Raw genomic sequence first — 22,553 nt, forward strand, 5'->3', positions numbered from 1 at the left:
AGGGGTGAGCCACCGCACCTGGCCCAAGCGTTTTTATATAAGCTTTCTTATTGTACAGACTAAGACAGAAAAAAGAATCAACCACCTTAGACAGCCTGGAATCCCTGAAAAATAAACTCCAGTGTCTATGCTTGACAGTGGTTTCTCAACAAGGGAAGTGGGGGGAATTTTGCTCTCCAGGGGACATTTGGCAATGTCTGGGACGTTTTTGGTTGTCATAACTTGGGAGGGGCTGGAGAATGCTACTGGCATCTAACAGTGTAGCCAGGGAGTTGCTAAGCCCCCTACATGCACAGGACATCCCCTTGCAGACAATGCAAATGATCCAGCCCTCAAGGTCAGCAGAACTGAGATTAAGAACCTGCTATAGGCCAGGCCTGGTGGCTCATGCCTATAATCCCAGCACTTTGGGGGACGGAGGGAGGTGGATCACCTGATGTCAGGAGTTCGAGACCAGCCTGGCCAAAATGGCGAAACGCTGTCTCTATTAAAAATACAAAAATTAGCTGGATATGGTGGCACGTACCTGTAATATCAGCTACTCAAGAGGCTGAGACAGGAGAGTCACTTGAACTCGGGAGGCAGAAGTTGCAGTGACCAGAGAGCACACAACTGCACTCCAGCCTGGGCGACAGAGCAAGATCCTGTCTCCAAAAATAAAGAACCTACTATAATGAGTTTTCCCAACAATCTTCCCCTTACCTTCCAATACTTCTAGGTTCGTCCATTGGATGAACTTCTAGGTTCTTCCATTGGATGAACATACAACATCTCCTCGGGTAAACATAGTGTCAGCTCCATCAACAAACAGTGTCCCAGTTCATCTCTGTGGTATCACTTTTCTCCACATCTTTCCTAGGCTGAGGGGCATAACCTGGATTTTCTTTTCCCAGCATTCATTTTCTTCCTCTTGAATGTTCGATTGCTCCATCAATCAACTGGATGATGATTGAATGAATCAATACATTCATCAATATATGAAGAACATATAACTGGCCTGGAGAATGTGCAGATTCGCTCACTACTCTCTCAAAGCAGGATGAACTATCCATATTTTGATAAAGCTGAACAAACCCACACTGTCCATCTCAACAGGCCACTTAAGACCCCAGCAACCCGGTCCCCAGAAGACACTCAGCTTACTTAGGGCAATGACACCATTTGTCGAGACCCAACCGGCCCCTTGTGACTGCCTTCCTCCATGAGTTCCAAACATCCCTGGTGGCTTTTTCAACTTACGAATTTGAGGTGAAGGAAGAAGAGAAGCAAACGTCTTCATGAGAGGTGACAAAGTGTGGTGGTGAAGAGCGAGGGTCCTGCAGCCAGACACCTGCTTTCGGCTCCCAGCTCTGCCATGCATTACCTGGGAGACTTGGCCACCTTCCTTAACCACTGTGTTCCTCAGTTTCCTTATTTATAAGGTGGGAATGCCGTCAAGGGTTCCTGAGAGGATCAAATGAATAAGGATAAGGAAAGCACTTAGAACAGTATAAGGCACAAAGCAACTGTGTGGTAAAGGGTGGATATTATTAAAGGGAGACATGTCTTCAAGTAGGAGCCAAGAAGTGAATGTTCCCATCACTAATACCAACCTAAAATAGCATTAGTCCAAATGTATCATGCACGTGGTCAGCATAGCCAAAGGTTGCCTCACTGCAAGGTTAAAGAAGAAGCTAAACAAATTTCACTTCCTTACAAGGGCAACAGGACTGGACTCCATCCTTCTTGACATGGGTTGTTTCCTCTTTCCTATTTAAGAATGAGCACATTGGGTGCAATTCTCCAAGGCTCCCCACTGGTTTATTCTGCCCTCCTGGCCTTTGCCCTTAGAAAGGTTTATAGCCTTCTCCCTAATAACTCAGTACATAATCATTAAGAAGCATGAGTAAAATGGGACTTTAATTACTTTATTAAAGGTAATAAATATGTCTATGCCCTTGAGATCATATAAAAATAGCTTAAAATCATTGGCCATAGTTATATTTTCCACGAGCTGAGTTTTAAAATATGTATAAAGTCTGTGGTAAATTAAGAGAGATTTCAGCCTACTAACAATTCCTAAACCATTCTAAATGGGTCAGGAATTCAACTGGGATATCTATGATTTTTTTGTTTCTTCTTATTTCCTGATAATGCCATATGTTTTATAATTTAGCATCTTATTAAGGAGGTGAGAGCCTTAAAACTTTTAAAGTCAATTCCTGTTTTTAACTATTAAAAATAATTTTTAGTGGAGAGTTTGCTTATTATTATTTTGACACAATGCCTGCATTCATTTTAAGATTTAGGGGATTACTGAGCTATTCTTTTACATATCTCCAGCATATCATGCAGCATCTGGAACAGAGAAGACATTTTCATTTATGTTTATTAAATAACCAAAACATACATATGAATTAACAAATAAACTATATATAAAGGCAATAGTTAGGGCTTTCTTTTAGCATTTCCTTTTGTCTTTAAACTAGTCTCTTTTATAGAAACTACTCATTACGGCCGGGTGCAGTGGCTCATGCCTGTAACCCCAGCAATATAGGAGGCTCTGAGGTCAGGAGTTCAAGACCAGCCTGCCCAACATGGTGAAACCCCATCTCTACTAAAAATACAAAAAAAATAGCCAGGCGTGGTGGCAGGTGCCTGTAATCCCAGCTACTTGGGAGCCTGAGGCAGGAGAATTGCTTGAACCCGGGAGGCGGAGGTTGTGGTGAGCTGAGATCTTCCCACTGCACTCCAGCCTGGGCAGCAAGAGCAAAACTCCATCTCAAAAAAAAAAAAAAAAGTGAAGAAAGAACAGAAACTACTCATTACAGTAGTTTACTTGCCGTAAGAATCACATCAAACATTAAACCTTTCCACCTTCATTTTCCTAACACCTCTTTGACTTGGGGAAGGATAAATGACTCTTTACCTGCAGGGTGAACCAGCTACATACCCCGAGGCACTGACCCGGACTCAGTCTAGCACAATCAGAACCCCATCCAACCAGCCTAATATGTCATGTAAAGGGCACGGTCTGACTTCTGAGAGAGGTGGATCTCAATCTCATCGCTGCTGCTTCTTAATCCCTTTGAGCCTCAATTTCTTTTTGTATATAAAGGGAACAATAGTGATTTTGTTGAGATGAGGTATGCAAAGTCCCTGGCATGCAGTGAGCACTCAGCAATAAGTGCTATTTATTGGGCCAGGATTCCAACTAGTTTCATAAAAATAGCAGGAAAGTCCAGTGGAAAGCCCACTTGATGGTAGGGGAGGCTTCTACCCACCAACTAATTCCATGTTTCTCAACCCTGCACTGAACGTCAAAATCACCTGGGGAACTTTTGAAAAATTATGATGCCTGGTCCCAACCCCATGGAGCCTGGCTTAAATGGGGACAAGATAGCTATAGATTTTTAAAGTTTCTCCAGGGGATTCTAATGACCACCCAGGGTGGAAAAGCATGGAGCTAACGGGGTGCAGGACCAGTGTCCTCATAGGAAGTCAAAGGTTTGGTGGTAAACAACCACTGAAGCACATTTTCAAGGTAAGATCCATTGGAATGTATATTCCTGTCCTTAAACTCAAACTAGTTTAAAGTGATGGGTATCTTTTAATAAGACCTTCAGCGCTGGTTCTAGAGCTGCCTGTTCCCATACTATGTGTCTAATCAGCAGCCATATATTCATTTAAGTACAAAATTTGTCGAACACATCCTATATGCTAGGAACTGTGCTATTCTTCTGGGGTCCAGAACTGAGGGTGACACGGTCTTTGCTGTCATTTCCGGTCTAGTGAAGGAGATAGAGGAGAGTGACAGTTCTATGTGACAGACAGCAGGAGAGGGATAACTAAAACAGGCTCAGGAGGGAGAGGGCATGACAGCACATCCAGAGAAGGTGATGACAAGGAATTAACCAGGCAGAGAAGAGAGGTCCAAAGACAGGATTTTGGTGGCTTGAGTGAGGAGTATTTGCCAGTTTCATGTAACAACCATAAATTCATATTGCTTTATATTTAACTTATCAGTTTAAGTCAGTGGGCACCTTTTATACATTTAAGATGATATTAGGATAGTAGGGGCTTAGAATATTCCTACGTGGCAACATCTCATTAATTAAATTTCCTGGGATGTATGTGTGACAGTGTCCCAACATAGCATAGTAAAGAGGTTGAATGAATAACTTTTAGTATTGCTTCTAACTATTTTAAAGTTCTAGAACAGAAGTGGAATGGTTTTGCAAGTTGCCTTTCTCTCACTTTATTTCTGCTTTTCTATTTATGTAATAGACTAATTAAGGCACATTTTGTGTGTCTGTCATTGTCTATATATGAGATAGTCAGATTCATGGAAATGTCACTTGTGGTCTGAGTGTAAAATGAAATCTCTGGTAGTTGGCCTATTGACAGCTCTGGTTTTCACCAGTTAGAATGACTTAAAAATATATTACTTCTTATGCTCAGTGGCATTCGACTATAGAATTACTGCAATCTAGGGATTTGGGAGGGATATCAAAACATTTCAGAATTGATACTTGGCTTACAATACATATAAATTATGTGTTTCTATTTTCTCATTTCCTATGATCATAGAGCTAGAGTGCTCAAGGGGTCAGCCTTTTCTCCCTCCAAAAACCTCATGTTTAAAGATGCTTTCAGAGCTTTCAATGAAAAGTGCTCTTGATAATAAACTAAAATATTTCCTTCTCTCAGATCATCTGTATGTTTTTAGCTTTGAGAACTAAAAAGCACTATTCAATGCAGAGTATGAAATCAGTCAGTATTCTCTCCTTTAAAATCCAAAATTAACTAAAAATAAATAAATACATAAAAGGAGAATTTTTTGGCTCTAGGGATAGTACTAGCTCAGGCAAGGATGAACACAGACCCTTAAGTGTCATCATGACCCTTTCTATGTGTCTCCATCTCTTGGTTCTGTTGTCTTCGTTTTCTAGCAGGATCTTTCTACACAGAGGAAACTGAATACACTTCATGACCTTTGAATGGGAAACCCACTCTCAGTGAAGCTTTCCAGTCCCCCAAAAGAACTCCAATTGGCTCTGGTTGGGTCACGTGTCCACTCTGGATCAATGATTACATTTAGAGAAATTAGGCTTTCTGATTGACACTTGGCTCGACCACTGTGATTGGACAGCACACTTGAAGGATGGACCCATCAGAACCACATGAAGAGGCACAGAGTAGTTCCCTGAGAAAGGAATTGAGGCAGATAAACTAAGAGTTGGCCAATACTGGTAATCATGTTATTATAAGGTTTCTCTATTTCCTCCTTCAAATTTTTAATATTTCCACTAGATAAAAATGAAGATCTAATTTAAAATATTAACTAGATTCTATAGTTGGCATTTCCTCTTTTTAAAGTCCTTTCAGCTACTGACATATTTCCCTTCAATGAACAATTGGCTTTTTCCGTTACATTACAAAATTCTCTTTGGTTAGTCAACTGTCTGGGCAACTCTTAGAAGCTCATATTACTAGTGCATCAGAAAAATAATTATAGTTTAAAGTAGAAATAAGTTAACCAAACCTAATCAGCTTGAGGTTTTTATTTCTCCAGAGAACCAGATAAGGGAAGAAGGAGAGAAGTTTGAAAATCATGAGCAATTTCACTTATGTGCTCTCCACTATATAAGACTTCTATGAATAGTTGCTAGTGTCTTTTATTTCTATGTAGTTATTGCAATTTGAAAGCATTCATTTCCACTCAAGGAGCCTCTAACAAGGTAGAACTACTTGTGGAGGTCATTTTGATCTAAGGTTGGTCCTCAGTTTTGAAGATCTAGAAATTTCATTAATTTTTCCCCAGTACATTCAAACATGATCACTGTCTCCAAATCAGCCTGGTACCAAATTCACAGAAGGAACCTGGACATCTTTCTTGAAGAAGAAGGAGTGGGTACTAATTCAGGATATTAGAAGAGTAGAACCATAGTCTAGGTTGGAGTTTGTGAGGGCCTCTATACACCAGAGGCAAAGGGGTTAAATAAGAGAGATGAGAGTGGAAGGTGTTAAGAAGATAGAATTGGGATGGCTTGGTCACTATTAAAGTTTGTGAGCTTTCAAGAAAGATGTCCAGGTTCCTTCCATGAGTTTTGTTCTACCTTGTTAGAGGCTCCTTGAGGCCTTTTCTTACGATGCAGAGTGGTAGTATAATGGAACATCAATGTCATGTTTTAATTATTATTTCACAATATAAAAAGACAACCTGTGTGTCCATCTATGTGATTCTTGAATAATTCCCACAAAATCTCCAGCTTAGCCTATGTAGCTGTGAGACATTCACCAACTAACTCAAGAGACAGCTTATTCTTTTTTTGAACAGTTGACATTTAGGGATGTTCTTCTTTATATTGATCTAATATCTATCTCACTATGCCTTCCATCCATCAACCAAGAATCGCACCTGGGCCTGGTAGAACAAGCCCAAATCCTTTCTCATAGGACAACCCTTCAAATTCTTCAAGATCGTTATCGAGTTCCCCTTCATCTTTGCTTCTCCAGACCAAACTTTTCCTGTTTTACTTTATGAGTTTATGTAAAGAAAATAAACCGAAATTAAAAATAGAATTGGACAATAATATGGAGACTGCCTATTATAGATGAAGCAGTGAGCTCAGTCCCAGGGATAAATAGGATGGAAAGCTTGGTGGCTGTCCCTAACGCATTCACAGTCTAGTGAAGAAGCCAGTGCATACGTGGAAAGAATAATAAAATGTGCTAAGTGCAGTTGCAGAGATTTAAAAAAAAAAAAGGGTGCTGTGCAAATATGATGGAGGAGACAATTCTGCCTGCAGCAGTCAAGGAATGTCTGGCAAAGGAGGTGAAGTGTGAGCTGAATCTTGAAAGGCAGATAAGAATGGGGCAGGTGACTATGGCATGGAGCTGGGTGGGGAAGTGGGGCCAGCCTCTGTGTGGTCCTCCACAAAGAGGGAGCACAGGCACATGCAAAGGTTAAGAACAGTGTGCTCATGGAACTGCAGGTCAGCCGGGTGCTGGATGCCCAAGCGGTAGGAGGAACAGGAGGAAGGAGATGACCCATGGCAGGCAGGAAGCCGCACATCTCCTTGTAGGTCCTTGTAGGTTTGCTTGACAACATGAGAACCGCTTTCCTGCTAGCCATAAAGAACCACTGGATGATTTTAAGCCTAGAAATGATACCGTCAAATTTCAATTTAGCAAAATGCATCAGGTGGCTGCATAGAGAGAAGAAGATGGCATGAGGAGACGGTGGGGGGAAACAGAAATGATCAGTGCATAGCAGTACTTAGGCAATGGAGGTGGAGAGGCAAGGTGAGGACCCACATTGTCACAGAGGTGAAGTCTCCAGGACTCCTCAGTACTTGAGTGGATGTGAGTGAAACAAATGGTCAGGAAGATTAAAAACAAAATTTTTTTTCTTAAAGACTCCAACTTTTTCAGTCATTTCATGTCATACTCTTGCCCATCTCCCCACCATTTGGTTACATGTTGATGGAAACTAGTGACCCTTCTCCCACAATTTCACTGCAACCTATTCTTCCTTGTGGTGCAGTGATCTTGCAATAATAACGATGTCACTATTTACATTGTGGTGCCGTCTTAAACTGCAATTAATTCACAGTTCCAGGCTATTAGGAACTATTGTCATAACAGCTATGGCTTCCTTTATCTGCAAATGCTGAGTTGTGAGATGTATAATTATATGCGGGAGTAATTGGTTTTAAATTTATTTTTGTAATTACACTAATTGAACATGGATGTGAATTTAAAAATATGAAGGGCATGGCATCGAGCCGGATGCGGTGTCTTCATAAGAGGTAGATGAAAGAAATGATTGTTATGAGTAGGTGAAAACAACCTTGCTCATTTGTAAAAGTGCAGTGTAAATACAATGGCCCATGTATCCCCTCCAGGTTGAATGCCAGTGTAGTACAGTTGCCAAGTGGAGTCTTCATGAGAGTTCATTTGAAACTGGACCAATGCCTAAATCAAGGGGAGAGCATCCTGGCTGCTGCTGTGACTTAAGATCGGCAGCATTCCCTTGGACCTCCCCCATGAATATTTGAAATTTCCCTAGAAGACATGCCCAGTAGCGTCTAAGCTCACCACTCTTGCATACCCAGGGCTTACGATTCCCACTATTCTTCAACTTCTAACAAACAACCATTGGTGATCTCTCCAAGCCCCACATTCGAAGATCCCAGTTGCCTTCAGTATCTGTCCAGCCCTGCCCTGGCAAACTCCGCAGCCTTCGCCTGGTGGTGGCAGTGAGTTCTAGAGAACAGAGCTGCTTAATCTCCCTTGGCTCAGCTCCTTTATATGAGCCCATCTGCTCTTCAATTCTGTGTAGATCAGAGCCAAGTCCAGGCTTTGTATAAAACACTTGGGGCCCCAGACCAGCCAAGAGGGAGGAGTAGGCAGGTTTTCTGCTGCACATCTTCCTAGACGAGCTCTACTGTATAAGCTGATAGACCAAGGATTATATCAGGCCCTTTAGTGTATCTATCAGCAGCAATGTGCCATAACCACTGAAACTCTAATAATGGCCCCCCAGGATGCATTTGTCTCCCACTTGCCAGTTCATGTCTTATAAAACCTTAGGTGTCTAGTGATAGGTGTCCAAGCATAATCGTAGGAGGATACCAGGCCAATGAGAATTGGCAGACTCATGCACTAACAAAATGCATATAGTACTTGTTTTGAAAAATAGGAAAAGAAAATCTGCTTGATCAAATTCTTTTTTTCTCTAGGAAAATGTATTGCTAAGAAAAACAAACAGGCTTTACCAAGTGAAAATAAATACCTTCAACTTTTTCCTCTTTAAGTAAATTAGGAAACAGTAACCAAGGATCCAGTTGCAGCTTTGTTCATCAGCACCATGAGCACGTACATATTATTATTGACAGAAGTCCCCTTTTGTCAGTAATAGCCGCCGTCTACTGGATGCCCACTATGAGCAGGCCATTCTCTAATCTTCCACATAGTCATGAAGATGGGCATTTTCCCATTTTGCAGATGAGAAAACTAAGGTGCAAAGACAGGTTAAGTGGCAAAGCCTGGATCTGAATCAGATCTGGCTGGCTCTGCTGCACTATGGCAGTTCAGCAAGTGAGTCTCTGGGAACCTTAGAGATGGGAAGATGGGACATGTACACATAGAACTGTGGCGCATGGTGTCATGTGGCAGGCATCCCAAGGGTGGCAAAGTGGCATAGGAGCTCAGAGGGAAACACCATTTCTGACTGGCATGAAAGCTCAGTTTGGCTGGCAAAGGGGCTGCATGGAGATGGTGAGGAACAGTCCCCAAGGTGTCCAATCACAACCTCACAAACAGTTTGCAAGCCAATCCCCTACAACACTTAACAAAGCTGTGCAAAACTGGTGCTCAGGAAATCCCTGTTGACTTAGAAGGCTCACTACCTTTCATTTCCTGACTTCCCATGTTGTGGATTCTGCCTAGCCATAGATCTCATGGCCATATGTGATTTCCAAACTCTTTGTAGGTTCGTTTCAATTTTCTGTGTTTCTTCTAGTTTCTGCAGAAATCGACATTGGGGGCTTTGTGTTTCAGAAATCAACATTGGGGTTTTGTGTCTTCCAAAAAAAAAGAAAGAAAGAGAATTAGAATATATATCACACCATATCTTACTTTGGAAAAGAATCCCCAGAGGAAAATACACTTTTAAAAATATTGCATATCCTTTATCTTAGCTGGTGAGAAAGTCTAGCTTTTCTGTGAACTTGCCAGAGAGCTGGTAAGTAAAAACAATTTCTGAATAAAATGCTTGCAATACTGAGGTGTCTGCTAGAGGGCAACATATGTTAAATAATAATGTGGCTGTTTTTCTGCAGGATGGCACAAAGATTATCTAGTTCAAAAGCAAAGTCCAGAGCCTATGATACTCAAATGATTTTTTGTTTAAAAAAAAAATCCAGGGTGACCGCTGGCGTCTCAGCTGAAAACCAGCAGCCTTTGCAGTTTTGCTATCTTTCAGGGGGTTTATAATGGATACATTTATAAGTGCCTTTGTACCCTTTCCAAAGAGCTTTACAAAATAATCTCATTGTCATTTAAAGTAGCTAAGTCTTCTCCACCACCAACTGTGAAATCCTCTCCAGAAAGCTCTATTAACTTTATTACCTGAAAACAAATCAATCAAAGAGGAAGGTGAAAGGAAAATACATCATTTAGGACAGAGAGACATGTGATGAGTGTTGTACCTCAAAGCTGCATTTTATTTATTTATTTGTTTGTTTGTTTATTTATTTGAGACGGAATCTCGCTCTGTCACCCAGGCTGGAGTGCAGTGGTGAGATCTCGGCTCACTGCAACCTCCGCCTCCCAGGTTCAAGTGATTCTCCGGCCTCAGCCTCTCGAGTAGCTGGAATTACAGGCATGCACCACCATGCCTGGCTAATTTTTTTGTATTTTTAATAGAGACGGGATTTTGCCATGTTGGCCAGGCTGGTCTTGAACTCCTGACCTCAGGTGATCCACCCACCTTGTCCTCCCAAAGTGCTGGGATTACAGGCATGAGCCACCGTGCTTGGCCCAAAACAGCATTTAATCTCAAGAGCAGACAAGGGTAGGCCCCCAGGGGACCCTATTTGTAACACTAATCAGAGGGCCTATGTTGGTAATTTTTTCCATTATCTGTGGTGCCCACATCATGTTATCCAAAGAGAGACTCCGTTGTCCAGTTTTGAAAAGGTTTTTCTGGCTGGTAATTTTAGTGCATACCTCTAAAGTGAAGCTATGCTTGGTATAAAAGTAAACATGCAAGGGATGTAGATGTTACTCACGTTGGGCCTGTTTCCCCCATGCCTTCCACTCCCCCACCCTGATAGCATACCTTTGCTGAGGAATAGGTTTGTTTCATCCTCATTTATCTAAGAAATGAAGGTTCTAAAAAATTGGCTTGTAGGCTGGGCGCAATGGCTCATGCCTGTAATCCCATCACTTTGGGAGGCTGAGGCAGGCAGATTGCTTGAGCCCAGGAGTTCGAAATTAGCCAGGGCAATATGGCAAAACCCCATCTCTACTAAAAATACAAAAAATTAGCCAGGTGTGGTGGTGCGTGCCTGTAGCCCCAGCTACTCAAGAGGCTGAGGTGGGAGGATCACCTGAGCCCCAGAGGCCAAGGCTGCAGTGAGCTGAGATTATGCCACTGCACTCCAGCCTGGGCAACTGGAATGAGACCCTGTCTCAAAACAAACAAACAAAAACCTGGCTTTTAAAGCCATCATAAATATATTTTGTAGGAGGGATTTGTCATGCCTGAAAAAGCTTCATACCTGTTCCCCTATCTCCCAGCATGCATACTTTAGCAATATCCGATCAGAAACCAAGTTTCCTACAGAAAAACCCAAGGTAGACATACAACCAAAACATTTTAAATTGTTCCCATCTGATAAAAGCACAAAGGATGATGTCTCCTTGGAAAGAGATCATGCAGAATATGGAACAGCACTGGCTCCAGAGGTCATCAGGTGACTAGCCTGTGAGGCTAGGCTGTCAGGCAAATTGGCCGTGAGCTCTCACTGTGTCCCAAGAGCACTTAAAATGTCAAAACCTTCACTCAAATTTTAGCACACAAAGTCCCACGACCCCGTTGCTGCAAATCCAAAGAGCCATATGACAGTTAGGCACTGGGCAACCTTGAACTTGGTAGGACTGATTAAACGCTAACAGCTTCCATCTGAGACCATGTCTCCCCAGGAAATGTCCGAATGGATAAAACTGTTCTCAAATCATATAGGGGCTCCCAGCTGACTCCAGAGGCCCACCCTGCATGCTCTCTAGTACGAGAGAACTCCTTAGAGGTGGGATGATTTTTCTGGTATCCTTATCAAACTCCAGCTCTGGAGTAGCATAATGCATCGCACATTTATCTCAGCCCCTCTCAAAATCAGAGAGGATCTCAGGGCCTCAAATCCTGAGAGGTCTGATGATTTTTGTGGCCCAGAATCATCAGCAGCTGAGCTGCAAACCTTTGGGCATGTTTCATGATGAAGAAGAGGAAGCGATATCCCAGGTGTTCCTGAATAACAAACACGTCACTGTTCACAAACAGGAGGTGGTCACAGAGGTGACCTGTTTACACCCTACTCATTTTTGACACTTTTGAAGATGTTGTTTCTGGGAACAACCTGAAGCAGACTCTGAAGACACTCAATTCCACTGAGTGGTCTGAGACAACTTCTTTTCTTTTCTTTTTCTTTTTTTGTTTTTTTGTTTTTTGATAAGGAGTCTTGCTGTGTTGCCAGGCTGGAGTGCAGTGGCGCAATTTCAGCTTACTGCTACCTCCGCCTCCCAGATTCAAGCAATTCTCCTGCCTCAGCCTCCCAGGTAGCTGGGATTACAGGCACAAGCCTCCCAGGTAGCTGGGATTACAAGCACATGCCACCATGCCCAGCTAATTTTTGTATTTGTAGTAGAGACGGGGTTTCACCATGTTGGCCAGGATGGTCTCAATCTCTTGACCTTGTGATCTGCCTGCCTCAGCCTCCCAAAGTGCTGGGATTACAGATATGAGCCACTGCTCCCAACAGAGGCAACTTCTTCTTCCAGCTTCTGCTAGGTCTCCTCCTACCTCTGAGTCTGCTCCTTCTCACCTCTTTTGCTGGCTCCTTCACTCTGCCTAGTCCTTAAACTTGGGGAATCCTAAGGATTCCATTCTTGACCTCGCTTAGCTCTGAAACTGTATGTCCGCACTTCACTTCAGCTACTATAGATGCGCTGAAGACATCTGTATCACCAACCTGAGTTCTACATTCTTGCCCTAATCACTTATTTGATTTCTCCGCCTGGAGGTCCTACACACACCTTAAATGTAGCAATTGCAAATATGAATTCATTCTCTTTACCACCAAAAGATTTTCCTCCTTCTCAGTCTCAATAAGGACCACCATCCACTCAGTTGCTCTCTCAGGGGGAGCAATCAGGAGACAGAAATCACACGGTCAACTGAAAAAAAGGAACAATATTAAAAAAAATCATTAAACTATGACAGTGGAGTAACTATAAAGAGGACTCTTAAGGGCAGTCTAGAGCTAAGGAAAAGTAGGCAAGTCAGGACAAATTTGGAACTGGGACCCCTCCTAAGGACTGAGGTTCAGGTCCACTGGAGAAAGTGTCCTTGAAGTCCACTGGATGATGGAGAATTTGGCTGAGTTGTCCACACCAGAGCTGATCAACAGTCACTCGGCAGCAGGAACTGGCCCTCTGTGATGAAGGTGAGCCTAGGTTGATGGGCAGTTCACAAGGGAGTTGGAGCTCAAGTCCTGGAGTATGTCTTGTCTGCATAAAGACGGCTTCAGCAATGTGATGCCAGGGCAAGCCAGAGCAGTGAGGTGACCAAGGGACTGCATATTCTGGGTGTGCAGCTGGGGAGCCTTTGGATGTCCACACACACACACATCTGCACCACCAGAGTGAGAGCAAGAAAATGCAAAACTCAGCATCAAAACCAGGAGGAGCCAGGGGCAGTGGCTCACGCCTGTAATCCCAGCATTTTGGGAGGCCAAGGCAGGTGGATCACTTTGAGCTCAGGAGTTCGAGATTAGCCTGGGCAACATGGCAAAACCCTGTCTCTACTAAAAATACAAAAATCAGTAGGGCAAGGTGATGTGCACCTGTAATCTCAGATACTTGGGAGGCTGAGGCAGGAGAATCGCTTGAACCCAGGAGGCAGAGGTTGCACTGGGCTGAGATCACTCCACTGCACTCCAGCCTGGGTGATAGAGTGAAACTCTCTCTCAAAAAAAAAAAAAAGAAAAAAAAAAAAAACAGGAGGAGAAGTGCCCTTCTTCCTGCAATGTCCCTCCAGTACCCTCCATGGACATAGTAGAAGAGAAATGCTTAGAGTCCAGTTTACTATCACAGAGCAGGTACTAAGAGGTGAATTTGGAGCTGAGCTATAATAAATCTGACCAGCACAGTTGCCCAAACTAAACTCCTTCCTACTCACTCCTCATAGTTAGTTGCCAAATCTTGCTAACAACTTAGCAGATAAATGTCTCTAGAATTGAACCCATCTGCTTCGTCACCCCTACCACCTCTGAGTTAGTTCATCCTCTTCTTTGCTCTCACATGGACTTTGGCCACAGCCTCATGACTGGTTGTCCTGCCACCAGTACATTCTCATTCCAGCCCCATACCTGCATGACTACTAGGTAGCTTCCTAAAATAACAAAATTATCTTTATTATGCCCTTGATTGAAAACCTCTGGTACCTGATCAGCTAGTGCGAGATGTTAATACCAGGCAAAACTGTGCGTGGAGAAAAGGGTAATACATGGGTATCTCTGTAATGCGTGGCAAAAAGGGTAATACATTGGTATCTCTGCCTGCTCAGTTTTCCATAAGCCTAAAACTGCTCCAAAAACTAGTTTATTAACTTAAAACGAAACAAAACCACCCTCCCTCTATGACTTCCCTTTTCCAAACTCCTCATCTTCGCAGCAGGTTACTCACAATCTTCATGTCTGTGCAGCCTCATCTTTCAGTTCCCATCAGACTGAATTTCTCATACAAAACCCTGAATTTCCACAGCTCTACTTCAAACCAACTCACCGCCCTTGTGTGGAATACCCTTCCTTGCTTTTCTCCAGTGGAAAACTTCTATTTGTCCTTCAATTTCCACCTCAGATGTCAATTCTTATTAAAATCTTTCCAGCCAGCTAGTTATTTTTCTCTCTCTGCTCTCATTTTATGTCTTAAGATACAATATTTTAAATGACTTGTTTACACGTCAGGCTTTGTCAGTGTTTATACACTAGAGGGCATGGACTGTTTTTTTTTTTTTTTTTGACAATTTATCCCCAGCACCTAGTACAGAGTAGGCATTCTGTATATGTCTGTTGAATGATGAATGGATGAATGATGAAAAGAGCACCAGCAGCCCATATGACAAATTTATTGCCATGTCTCTGCAGTTGGGAGAGCAACATCATTTAGATGGTCAGGATACCTATCTTGTAGGAGACAAAAATAGATCAAAATTAAAATGCTAGATCTTCCAATATGTGCACCCTTAATATAAAGCATAATGTTGACACTCACTAAATTTTCATTTGCTAACTCAAAATGATTAATAACTAATAAATCTCAGGAGAATTGGATATTTCTGGGCCCGGGCTCTTGAGTAGAATAAATTGTCAAAGTGATGAATGACTAATGTTTTTTTACTTTCAACATATCAGCATTCAAGGATACTGTAGTGCTTCACTCATGCTCACTCAGAAATCCAAACGACTTCTAGTTGAAGGATACTATTACCTTTTTAAGGTTGGTTGTAGCAGAGGTGAGCTGTGATTATAACTGTGGCTTCCAAAGCAAGTGTGCCAGCCTCCAAGTTCAATGCTGCACTTGGATTCTTCACTTAATCTTCATATTGGCTTAATCAATGATGTTTTCCATGGCTGGGGACAGTTTTTCAAGTTGTACACCAGTTTATGTTTTTCAGATCAGCCTCTCTATTATAGTGAGGGTGCTAATAAGTGTTGTTGAGTGAAGTTGTCACAAGACTTGTAGCATAGCCTGGATTTTTCTCTAGCCAGTTAACATCTCAGGATGGCCTTGCTTGGGATGGGGTGGAGCCTAGCTCCAGATCTTCAGTTTAGGTTGACCCTCAACAGGGATCATGCCATCTCGGAAGCATTCATGTTCATGTTGTGCTTGCTCCCTTTGGTCAACCCCAAGTAGAGTCATAAATGACAAGCAGGCCAGGCGCAGTGGCTCACACCTATAATCCCAGTGCTTTGGGAGTCTGAGGTGGGAGGATTACTTGAAGCCAGGAGTTTGAGACAAGCCTGGGCAACAAAATGAGGCCCTGTCTGTAAACAAGTTAAAAATAAAAATTAGCCAGGTGGCATCATGAGCCTATCGTCCCAGCTATTCAGGAGACAGAGGTAGGAGGTTTGCTTGAGCCCAGGAGTTTGAGATTACAGTGAATTACGACTGTGCCACTACACTCCAGCCTGGGCAACAGCAAGACCCCATCCATAACTAAATAAAAATGAACAAATGAACAAACAAAGGAAAAGCAGCTCAAACCGAGAGGTGAATATCGCCCCTCATGTCAATACTGACTCTCACTGAGTTGTACTCAGGAACTCAGAACTCGGGAATTTAGGGTGACTGGAAATTCAGGCACCACTATTCTGATTGTGCACTAAACACAGAATGCAATTCGTGTTCAATGGTAACTAAAAAGAACCACAAAAATGCTATCCTGCCTTCTATGATGTGGAGCTTTGGCACCATTCATAGTGATATGAAACAGATACAATGACAACAGGAATGGCGTGTCACTCTTAGCTTTCATCCTGTGCTCTCCCATGCTGTGTTATTCCCAGGCAAACAAAAGCATTGCACCATGGATCACCTTTATAAGTCATTCCAGGTAACCATCCCTATAAAGAGCCACAAATATATTTCCACCAGACAGGACTTGCCTTAGGTTGAAGGCTGGCTATTTGGCCCACTCGCAAATCTCCTTGACACTTTCCTCCTCATCTAGGAATCATCAGAGTTCTGGGGAAACACTAGGCTGACATTTTAAAATTTCCATTACTCTTTTTGAACAGTCTAGAGTTAATTTTTATGCTGTAGCCAATGTAATCACACACACATATCCGTATACTTCAAATTGCAAACACAATTTTGTTTTATACTTAATTGCATCTCTACCTAGTGAAAGGACTTGAGCACACATTGGCAGCGCATTTATAATCGTGTTTGTTGACATTACTTCTGTTGTCGTACATAAAATTAGCCATGTGTTGTGAGAGATGCCATCGTTATCATTGTTTCATTAGCATGTAGAGGTTGTCTGTTCGTATTTTTAAACATTCATTAATTTGATGTGATGTCATTCTGAGCATAAAACAATGTGTTATATGTCATAGGTGATTAAGCTCCCTAAATCTTGCCTCATCATATAAAATCACTAGCCAGTGCCTAAAACCATTGCGACACATTATAAATCTAAAGATAGAATCAAAAAGCACAATCCCAGCCAGACCCCTAGAAGTGGACCAGGTGTCTATTGGTGAAAGAGACCATTTGAATATAATTTGCACTCAAATGGAAACAACCATTCGTTCAGATCACCTGAGCTTTAACTTTGACCTTTTAGTGGTAGTCCAGGAACAAGAAAAAGTTGCGAAATTTCTTTGATTTTTAAAATGCAGTTGTTTTATAGGGCTCACCACTGGCTTTGTAAAGACTTTTTATTTTTAATTTTTTTTGAAATAGAGATGGAGACGGAGTTTTGCCATGTTGCCCAGGCTGGTCTCGAACTCCTGAGCTCAAGTGATCCACTTGCCTCAGCCTCCCAAAGTCCTGGGATTACAGGCATGAGCTACTGCATGCACCCAGCCTGTAAAGACTTTTTTTATTTTTATTTTTTGAGATGGAGTCTCACTCTATTGCCCAGGCTGGAGTGCAATGGTGCAATCTTGGCTCACTGCAACCTCTGACTCCCAGGTTCAAGTGATTCTCCTGCCTCAGCCTCCCGAGTAGCTGGGACTACAGGCACGCACCACCATGTCCAGCTAATTTTTGTAGTTTTAGTAGAGACGGGGTTTCACCATGTTGGCCAGGCTAGTCTCAAACTCCTGATCGCGTGATCTGCCTGCCTCGGCCTCCCAAAGTGCTGGGAGTACAGGCATGAGCCACCGTGCCCGGCCTATAAAGACTTTTAAGGAAAAAAAGAAACACAATCACATTGGATGTGCACACTGGTACTAAGATCCTACAGGATCCCTGCAATCTAGAAGTTGTGTTTCAGAATCAAGGAAATATGATCAATATTTTACCCAAGTGCCTTCCAAAACTTAGAATTAACTTTCTCATGCAAAAGGTTCTGGAGAGTTTTTCCACTGTGATGCTTCCCATGACTTTGGGCTCTGGTACACTTGGCATTCCTCACTGCAATCTAATTCCAAAGTCAAGTTAAGCCATCATTTTATGTGTAGAGAGTTAAATATGTATTATGCCTGTAGTTAGTGTTTTTATCCCTGCTGGACCCTGATCTTAAGGAGAGAGAGAGCCCTACATCTTTTGCGTCTTTTGTTTTTATTCCCGGAATCCAGCACTGTGCCTAGGACTCTAGGAGCCCTGGAGTACAATGGAAAGAGCACTGGTTTTATTGTCATAGGGGCCTAAATTCAATTCACACACATTACTGCTTGTGTAACATTGACAAAATCACTTTTTGACCTCAGTCTATATTAGTTTTTTCATCTTCAAAACATTGTAATATCTACCTTGGAGGATAATTATCAAAAAGAGACAGAGAAACTAATATGTAAATATTTTGCCTGAAATACATTATTTGCTCAAGAAATATTGGTATGATTATTGCTGTTGTTACTGTTAACAGATAAATATCTGCTCAAATTTGCTGAAAGTTTCCAAATAAACTTAACGGATGGTGAACAAAGAGAGGAGAGATCAAGAGAATAACTAAACTTGTTTTTGTCCTGCCTCCAATTTACCTGACAATGAGTACAGTGAAGCATAAAGTGTTTTAGACTCATAAACCTGTGAAAATTTCCAATAAATTGTAGAAGGCTTAAAATCCACATGGATGGAACATTTCGTACCGTTAGCATTGTGAAACTTAAGCTGCTTCTTTCTTCCCCAGTGTGAATCACTCATCAGTTTAAAAGAGCAGATTAAGAACTTTTAAAAATCTGTCATCTGAAATAAACTGTCAAGGAGTCTGACTTTGCAGTGATGTTAATGAATGTTTTTCATTATCTCTTCATTAATGGTAATCCATTCATTATTAAGTTTTTGCTTCTCTTCCTGTTCCTATTTTCCCTGCCAGGCACTATAAGGAGTGAGGCAGAATGCAATATTGAAATAAATTTGTAGCTACATTATAATTCATAAATTGTAGAATTATGGTGAATGTAAAAGTACTGTCATTATCAAAGTGCCCCTTTGAACAAGGCCAAGGCCAGGCCAAGGTGAAGTAGGAGCAAAATAAACAAAAGAAAGAAAGTAGCTGTAAGAAGGTGTACATTTCTATGTCAAGCAGCTTTTGGGGATGGATGGGGATTATGCTGTAAAATTCAAGGGACTGGAAAATAGAACCCCTAATAATAACTGCTACCACTTTTGAGTGATTAATCATGTTTCAAACACTGTACAAAACATCTCATTTAGCTATAAGTCAGCCTTTTGAGTTGGATACTGGGTTTGGCATTTGATTTTGGTACTACTATCCTTGCTTGATACATGAAGTTTAGACAAATTAAGGCACTTGTCCCCAGTTCAGAGCTAGGACTAGGGTGAGACAAATGAGACACTTAGGGTGCAGACTTTCAGGATGTGCCCGTTCTCACATTGGTGCAGTGCACCTGGGAATGGGCACCTCCTTAAACCAAGCACCCTAAGCTTGTCACTTGCTTCACTCTATCCCTGCCCTGCCATGATCACACAACTAGAAAGAAAATGGCCAAGTAATTTTTTAGATCAGGTCCAAAGTTCATGTTCTTGACCACTTTGTTAGGAACCAGCACAGGCATTCACACCCAGCTTTCTGGAGAATAAATTCGATAACTAATGAGTATCTACCAATGCTGGGCACAGGGCTGAGTGTGCAGGACACACAGAAATGAAAAAGACAGTCCTTGTCTTCAAGACTAAAATGCTAGTGCACTGTGAAACACTGACATCCTACCCATGCTGGAGGGAAGGATGGAAGGAAGGAAGGAAGGAAGGAGGGAAGGAAGGAAGGAAAGAAGGAAGGAAGGAAGGGGAGGGAGGGAGGGAGGAGGGAAAGGAGGAAGGAGGAAGGAAGGAAGGAGGGAAGGAAGGAGAAGAAGGAAGGGAGGAAGGGAGGAAGGAAGGAAGAAAGGGAGGAAGGAGAGGGAGGGAGGGAGGGAAGAAGGAAGGGAGGGAGGAGGGAAAGGAAGAAGGAGGAAGGATGGAAAGAAGCAAGGAGAAGGAATGAAGAAGGGAAGGAAGGAGAGGGAGGGAGGAGGAAAGGAAGGAAGGAAGAAGGAAGGGAGAGAAACAGGGAGGGAGGGAAGAAGGAAGGGAGGGAGGGAGCAAGGGGGAAGGAAGGAAGGGAGGGAGAGAGGGAGGCAGGAAGGCAAGAAGGCTGGTCCATGCATTGCTGTGTATTGCATCTCAGTGTTGTCTGGCTCTAGTGCCAGCAGGCCTTGTGAAAAGGGCCCTTACTCTCTCTCAGATTCATTCTCCACATCTGCAAATAAGAATGATGGTGCCTGTGCTATCCACATCACAAAGTCACAGTAAAAACAAGTATCAAAAGGAGATGATCACTTTGCTTTGTGGCACTATAAAGCAGAGAACATCTGTGAGCTACTTTTATAAGGAATACCCCATGTCATTTGCAGAACATTGAATGGGGAGTTGGGATCCCTGGGTTCTAATTTCTGGGTTGCCTTTTATTGGCAGTATGACCTCACAAAGGACTCTTCTCCTTGCAAGATCTTGCTTCCTCATTCATTAAATGGGAAAATTGGAATAAAAAATGACTCTAAGACTTCATAATTGTGACTGAAGTATTGAGGGTAATGTTTAGCAAAAGCATGTAAAATTATTCATAGCTCTGTCTTATTTTACGTAGATCAGTACACATTAATAATATTGGCTTTAGAGAACTGCATGCAGTGTATGGTGCTGGAGCCCAGGGAAAGTAAAGCAAGGGCATGTGAGTTAGCTTGTGCAGAGCCATCAGCATCCATAAAGGAATAAAGCAAAGTTCTCATCCTAACCTAAAATGAGAGTTTGAATATGCATGGAACAGCTAGATCGTGTTTAGAAGTCACATCCATAAACATGGAGATGGAAACAAGAACATATATCTCCTAGCTGATTCTCCATGCATTGATTTCAACTTTCCATTTCACTCCTCCTACTATCCTTTACCCATTCATTTTCAATAGTGTGCATTCCTAGTCAGTGGGTGGTAAGAAGGAGTATGGAAGTAAATACCTTCTAAGTAGATCTGAAGGACTTACTAGTTGCTTACTAATTCACTAATTCTATGAAGAAATTATCTGCAGCTCTGAAGAGGTATACATTATCCACTGAGACCATTGTCTATTAAGATTGGCATTGCCTTTGGAGTCAGGGTACAGGAATTAAAAGGAATAGCACCTCCTCCCACAACCCACCCTATTCCTAGAACTCTGCATCAGACCCCGGAGTAAATTGAAAGAACTATATTCCTTTAGTAAATACTTACTGAATGTTTTCTACAGACACTATGTCAGGAGATATGTAATCTGCCATAATTCTGATTGCAAAAATCCCCCATGCAATTTTGATTACAAAAATAGAATCCGAAACAGAGCCTTCCTCCATAAATCTATTGCCTGTGCAGCTAGGAATAGTTACAGAGACTTCCAGTAACTCAAAAGTTAATGCAAAGGAGACTAAGGATGTGCCCAAACTAGAAGAGATGAGAGGAGACAGGGGTCTAGATATGACTGACAAGTCTTTATCAAAGGTCATGGAAATGAATCTATCCCAAAGGACCTATGCTTTAATAATAAATAGTAAAAAAGATGTATGATTGAGAATTTACTTTGAAAAATGAATCTATGTAAGTTAATGTCATCCTCTAATGAAATTTAGGATAAAATATTACATGCTATAATTTATAGAACACAAAATAATTTTCACTAAAAATAATTTTGCAACAAATATTATGATAGCACAATGCAATATCCTTGACATCATGCATGACTTCTGCAGCATGATCCAAAAGAGAATCGCATTTGCTAAATTTTTTGAGAACCCCCTCCATTTTCCTAATACCAATACTTTGATATTGAAATTATTTCCATGGAAGCATCTATCTTATCATTATCCTTGCCAATTCTTTTTTTCCTTCTCAGTTACAAATGAATCTCTTTCAGAAGCTCATGATTCACTAGTTTTGCAGTTCTCCCCCATCATTTTCACTAACTTCAAGAAACCATGCATTCTTCACCAGATTTGCTCTTTCCCTTTGCAATTGATTTTAATTGTGTTGTCAGGTAACATTAGACACGAATGAGAAACCGATCTTCAAAGACAGGATAGGCCTGAAGAGGCAGTAGTGTAAGGAAGTGAGAGAGATGATGACTAATTTTATAAGCAGTAGGTTCATGTGTCACATGTTGATATTACAATGATTGTTTGCCTCTCTAAACACCACCATAAAGGTGGAGGTTTGGATAATGAAGAGCTTCTGTTCGTGGTAATAAGGTAACATTCTAAAGTAAACTGAATATCAAACACTTTAATTTACTAATTCAATCTTGAAAGACATGATCTCCAAATACAAACTGTGCTTTTTGTTGCTGTTGTATTGGGGTAAGTTTTGGAGGCAGTAGTTTAGATGATATAAAATATTTGCCCTTAAAGCTAAATTGACCTACTTTATAAACTGCTGAGACTATGTGTTTCTAGATAATACATGTGTATGTATGTAAATACATATATACATAAATATATTTACATATAGGCACAGATAAACGTGTGTGTCCATACATATGCCAACATGTGTTAATTTGTAATTATATTTAGGTTATTTAAAGTAAATG

The 22,553-nt window shown here is 41.7% G+C and overlaps 1 protein-coding gene across 13 annotated transcripts in view; it reads left to right on the forward strand.

Moving 5' to 3' along the window:
• The window catches only part of PHACTR1 (phosphatase and actin regulator 1), a 571,071-nt gene that overhangs the window by 185,005 nt on the left and 363,513 nt on the right, over window positions 1-22,553 (forward strand). The window contains exon 4 of one of the 13 annotated variants that reach the window (NM_001374584.1): window positions 894-2,235. The exons of the other annotated variants lie outside the window; for them this stretch is intronic. Coding sequence (NP_001361513.1) covers window positions 894-946 — 53 coding nt within the window. The 3' untranslated portion in view covers window positions 947-2,235. Of the gene's footprint in view, window positions 1-893; window positions 2,236-22,553 lie in introns of those variants that run through there. 13 annotated transcript variants of the gene reach the window in all.

Source organism: Homo sapiens, chromosome 6 (assembly GCF_000001405.40).
Source record: "Homo sapiens chromosome 6, GRCh38.p14 Primary Assembly".
NCBI classification, from domain to species: domain Eukaryota; kingdom Metazoa; phylum Chordata; class Mammalia; order Primates; family Hominidae; genus Homo; species Homo sapiens.